Below are 6,295 nucleotides of genomic sequence, written 5' to 3'. Positions count from 1 at the left end.
CCGCCTTGGCTTCCCAAAGTGCTGGGATTACAGGCATGAGCCACCGCACCCGGTCTTTTTCATGTTAAATAGTTCTTTTTTTTTTTTGTATATACTTAAGGGATATAATATACTTTGATATACATATGCATAGTGAAATGATTACTACAGTCAAGCAAATTAATATATCCATCTCCTCACAGTTCCTTTTTTAAAAAAAAAGTTTTCTAGCTTTGAGATATAATTGACAAAATTTTATAAATTTAAAGTATAAATGTGATAATTTGATATATGTATATTGTGAAATGATTACCACAATCAAGTTAGTTAACACACCTATCACTTCACTAGTGAACTTACATGTATGTATGTGTTCATGGGGGTGGGTGGGTAAGAATATTTAAGATCTCTCAACAATTTCAAGTGTATAGTATTGCATGGTAACTACAGTCACCAAGCTATACGTTAGGTCCCCAGAACTTATTCATCTTATAACTGAAACTTTGTTCCCTTTGACCAACATTTCCCCATTTCCCCTGCCCCCAGCCCCTGGCGACCACCATTCTACTCTTTGTTTCTATGGGTTTAACTTTTTTAGATTCTATACATAAGTAAGATAATACAGTATTTGGCTTTGTCTGTCTGGTTTGTTTCGCTTAGCATAATGCCTTCAAGGTTCATCTATGTTGCAAATTATGGTATTTCTTTCTTTTTAAGGCTGAATAATATTCCGTTTGTCTATACATAACACAATTTCTTTACCCATTCATCTATCAATAGACACTTAGGTTGTTTTAGTGTTGTGGCTACTATAAATAATGCTAGAGTGAAGATGGGCGTGCAGATTCTCTTCGAGATATTGATTTCATTTCCTTTGAATATATACCCAGGAGTGAGATTGTTGGGTCATATGGTAGTTTCATTTTTAATTTTCTGAGAAACCTCCATACTGTTTTCCATAATGGCTGTACCAATTTACATTCCCATCAAGAGTGGAGAAGGATTCCCTTTTCTCCACATCCTTACCAACATTCGATATATTTTATCTTTTTGATGATAGCCATTCTAACTGGTGTGAGATTATATCTCATTGTGGTTTTGATTTGCAATTCCCTGATGGTTAGTGATGTTGAGCACCTTTTCATGTACCTGTGGGTCATTTGTATGTCTGCTTTGGGCAAGTGCCTACTGAGGCCCTTTGTCCATTTTTTAATTGGATCATTGGTTTTTGCTACTGAGTTTTATGAATTCTTTATATATTTTGTGTATTAACCCCTTATCAGATATATGGTTTACAAATGTTTTCTCCCATTCCATAGGTTGCCTTTTCATTCTGCTGATTGTTTCCTTTGCTTGTGCAGATTTTTAGTTTGATATAGTCCCACTTATTTATTTTTGCTTTTGTTGCTTGTGTACTCTGATGTTCTTTTAAAGGTCTTCAATGACTTTCTTATTGCCAAGGCCAATGAATACTTTTGTTTCCACTGCTTTCTTTCGGGTATCTGATATCCCCAAACACTCTCTTCTTTTTGGAATTCTCTGTTTCCATGACAATCCATTCTCCTGATTTTCCCAATGAATCACAATGTCTCTTCTCAATTTTCTTACTTGGCTTCTTCTTCTGTTAGCCAGACCTTACGTATTATTACTCCAAGATTTAATTATTCACCTGTCTTTCCTTTTCACCTGGCACACTGCTACCTTGACTTCAGTTATTATTCATACTCCAACTACTTTTAAATATATATTTGTACTTCTATGTTAATCTTCAGACCTGTATTTTTGACATCTTACTTGACATCTCCACCTGGATTTCTCTCGGGAACCTCAAAACTGGGGTATATAAAGTAAAATGTATCCTCTCTTACTCCAAACCAGCTCCTTATTCTGTAGTCATTTTTCTGTTAGTGGCATTAATACTTCCACATTCATTCAAGTAAACTGATGTTATCTATAACTTCTCCCTCTCTCTCACCACACCCCTCCGCACCCCTCTCCCATCAATAGGCACTCATTCTATTTATTCTGCTCCTAAACACCTCTCAAATCTATCTTTTCTTCTACATCCTCACTGCCAGAACCTTGATTTAGGCCATCATTTTCTCTTGCCCAAATACTGCAGTAGCATTCTACATAACTGTCATTTTCTATTTATAAAATACAATATCACTCATCGGCTAAAATCCTTTACAGACCTCACCCTCAAAACTGGACAGAACCAGAGTGGGGCTGCTAGAAAAAAAAAATAATAAGAATAATTTACTTTTAAATTTTCAAAAAAAATTTTTTTTTTTGAGATGGAGTTTTGCTCTGTTGCCCAAGCTGAAGTGCAGTGGCGCAATCTCAGCTCACTGCAACCTCCGCCTCCAAGGTTCAAGCGATTATCCTGCCTCAGCCTCCCAAGTAGCTGGGACTATAGGTGCCCAACACCACGCCTGGCTAATTTTTTGTATTTTTAGTAGAGATGGGGTTTCACCACGTTGGCCAGGCTGGTCTCGAACTTCTGACCTCAGGTGATCCACCCGCCTTGGCCTCCCAACGTGCTGGGATTACATGCATGAGCCACTCCACCTGGCTACATATTTTCATTATGTGGTACATATACACCATGGAATACTATGCAGCCATTAAAAAAGAGTAAGATCAGGGGCATGGATGGAGCTGGAGGCCATTATCCTTTGCAAACTAACACAGGAACAGAAAACCAAATACCACATGTTCTTACTTACAAATGGGCGCTAAATGATGAGAACAAATGGACACACAGAGGGGAGCACACACTGGGGACTATTGGAGGCTGGAGGGTGGGAAGGAGAGGATTGGGAAAAATAACTAATGGGTACTAGGCTTAATACCTAGGTGAGGAAATAATGTGTACAACAAACCCCCATGACAAAATTTACCTATATAACAAACCTGCACACATACCCCTGAACTTAAAAGTTAAAAAAAAAAAAATCCGTTTCCTTTCTGTTTTGCATAGTGAGCAGGGTAAGTGAGCATGCTTATGCATAGATAAAGTTTATGGGAGGAAGAGGAGAATATATTTATCTTCTGTGATAGAAGCAGCCTTACCATAGAAGGACCCCCTGGTATATGGCTTGGCACATGGTAGGCACACAACTGTTGCTAGTTGAACAGCTGGATGGTGGATGCCCAATATTTTGTAATGGGGATAAGTAGTTTCCAAAGCTCTCAAATTGCTAGTGGGCACCCAAATAAATATATAGGTTCAAGGCAGCTGTGATTTGGGGCCAAACAAGTCACAGATCAGGAATGTGGAAATCGGTCTCATATCATCTCAGTGCTGCTTTGACTTTTTCCTCCTGGGCTCTTAGCCATGAGGTTTGGCAAAGCTACCTCCATAACACTTCACAGAGCCCATGTTCACATTGCAATAAATTGACCACAGTACTTAATTTCATTTTTTTTTCTTTTTAGAGATAGATTCTTGCTCTGTCTCACAGGCTGGAGTGCAGTGGCATAATGATAGCTCACTGTAACCTCAAACTCCTAGGCTCACTTACCCTTTCTTACCTTTTTTGTGCCCACTTATTCCCCCCTACCCACCTGCCACCTCAGTCTCCCATATAAATAGGACTACAGGTACACATCACCATTCCCAGCTAATTTTTTTTTTTTTTTTTGGTAGAGATGGGGGTCTCATTATGTTACTCTGGCTAGCCTCAAACTCCTGGCCTCAAGTGATCTTCTCACCTCCCAAAGCACTGGGATTGCAGATGTGAGCCACTGTGCCCAGCCCTTAAAATTTCACCTTAATTTCACCTGTGAGTTCCAGACTTAGTCATCTCCTAAAATGATTTGTAATCTTTTTCCCCCTACTAATGGTTCATATGTTAAAAAATAAGCAAAATCCAAGAAAAAGTTTTCTCACAAAATAACCTTTTAATCAAATTAATGTTTAACATTTGTTCTTGCTATTGTCTAGCTTTTCTTAAATGCACACTCAATTACTACATATTTGCAATAACACTGTAGAATTTTATATTTGACATTTTCATTTGACATTATTCCATGTCTATTGTTCTGTGTTGTTTTAGTCTTTCTTACCTTTTTTGTGCCCACTTCTTTCCCCTAACCACCTCCAAATACTCTCTGCCCAATGTATCCTAATTCCACTCAATTCTCATGAAACCACATACAAATGTATATATGTATAATTTGTTTATTGTTTGATAAAAGTGAATCACATTCCATAAACTTCCTATTTACTTTCCTCATTTGATGGTACACCATGGATATATTTCCAGGTCAATAGATCTAGATCCAATTCACTGAAAATAAACCTGCCAAATATAATTGTTTTGCTGCTAATTCAACCTTTATTGATGGACATCAGGATTTTCCAGTTACCATCAACAATATCACAATAAACATTCTTGTATGTACATCCTTTATAGAAGTATGTATCTATTACTTCTGTAGAATATGTTCTTGGTTTGTTGGGTTAAAGGTAAGTGTAGCCGAGCATGGTGGCTTACGCCTGTAATCCCAGCACTTTGGGAGGCCAAGGTGAGTGAATCACCTGAGGTCAGGAGTTTGAGACCAGCATAGCTAACATGGTGAAACCCCGTCTCTACTAAAAATACAAAGATTAATCCGCCGGGCACGGTGGCTCACACCTGTAATCCCAACACTTTGGGAGGCTGAGGTGGGCAGATCATGAGGTCAAGAGATCGAGACCATCCTGGCCAACCAACATGCTGAAACCCCGTCTCTACTAAAAATACAAAAATTAGCCAGGCGTGGTGGCACACACCTGTGTTCCAGTTACTCAGGAGGGTGAGGCAGGAGAATTGCTTGAACCCGGGAGGCAGAGGGTGCAGTGAGCCAAGGTCGTGTCACTGCACTCCAGCCTGGGTGACAGAGCGAGACTCCATGTCAAAAAAAAAAAAAAAAATTAGCCAGGCCTGGTGGTGCACGCCTGTAATCCCAGCTTCTCGGGAAGCTGAGGGAGGAGAATTGCTTGAACCCGGGAGGCGGAGGTTGCAGTGAGCCAAGATCACACCACTGCACTCCACCCTCGGTGAGAGTGAGACTGTCTCAAAATAAACAAATAAATACATAAAAATAAAGGTACGTGTAATTTAAATTTTAACAGGTGTTGCAAGATGACTTTCCCAAAGGTTGTATTCCTACATTCCTACAAGCTTATTAAGTTATCTGTGCAAATACTGTGAGAAGCAGTAAAGCACCATGGTTAAGAACAGAAGCTTTAGATCAAGACTATCTGGTATAAATCCTCGCTCTTCCATTACAACCTGTGTGACCTCAAGCAAGTTAAGTAATTACGTCATACCTCAGTTTCATATCTGTAAAATGGGGATAATAACAGTCGCTACTCATTATTGATATGTGTAAAATGATTGGAACAGTGCCTGAGTGTACTGAGTATATAATAAGTACTCAGTAAGGGTCAGCTGTCATTATAGTTATGATGAAGTGAAATATTAATATAATCGACTCACTGCATTTCCTCCACTGTTTTTTTGTCATCAAGATATGGTAGAAGATTCTCCTTGCCTATTTCAATGTGACACAGCCATCTCAGCAGTTGTTTTTTGTTTCCTTATTTCTTTTTGTTTTCAGCAGTTATTAATGCTAGCAAATCAGGATTTTTCCAGCCATTCACAGCTATGACACATCATTTCACACTGTTCTTCAGTGTGTTCTAAAAGTATTTCTGTCTGTCTGAGTCTTTCAGGTTTAATGAGCTCAGCCCAAAGAGCAGTGTTCCTAAACGGGGCATGGCAGCAAGAGCTCATGGCCATTCTGGTACAGAATTGAGGCCACGTTTTCACAGTAATAAACAGAAAAATGTCGTATTTCTCTACCCCTTTTTAATTTGAGAGGATGTCAGTAGCTTTGTGTGAAAGGAATCATGCTCCAGAGAAAAAAAACAGGTTTTTTTTTCAAAGGGCAGAAAGTAAACATTTCATTTGATTGAGCCACTGATAGAGCAATCCACTCTGCATCTTCCAATCTGTTTTGTTGGAGCACGTAGTGAGTATTCCAAGTACATATTTACACTAAGTTCCGTTCAATGCGGATTCAAACAAACAGAAAGATCAAATATTTGGAAGTTCTTCTACAGATTACTTTTGTGATTAAGAGACAAAAGCAGCAGTCAGAAAACTTACAGACAGAAGGCTTTTTTTTTTTTTTTTAGACGGAGTCTCGCACTCTCAACCAGGCTGGAGTGCAGTGGTGCTATCTCGGCTCACTGCAAGCTCCGCCTCCCAGGTTCACGCCATTCTCTTGCCTCAGACTCCGGAGTAGCTGGGACTACAGGCGC

Source organism: Homo sapiens, chromosome 11, assembly GCF_000001405.40.
Source record: "Homo sapiens chromosome 11, GRCh38.p14 Primary Assembly".
NCBI classification, from domain to species: domain Eukaryota; kingdom Metazoa; phylum Chordata; class Mammalia; order Primates; family Hominidae; genus Homo; species Homo sapiens.
The sequence above is the reverse complement of the archived record's forward strand: the minus strand, read 5'-3'. Positions refer to the sequence as shown.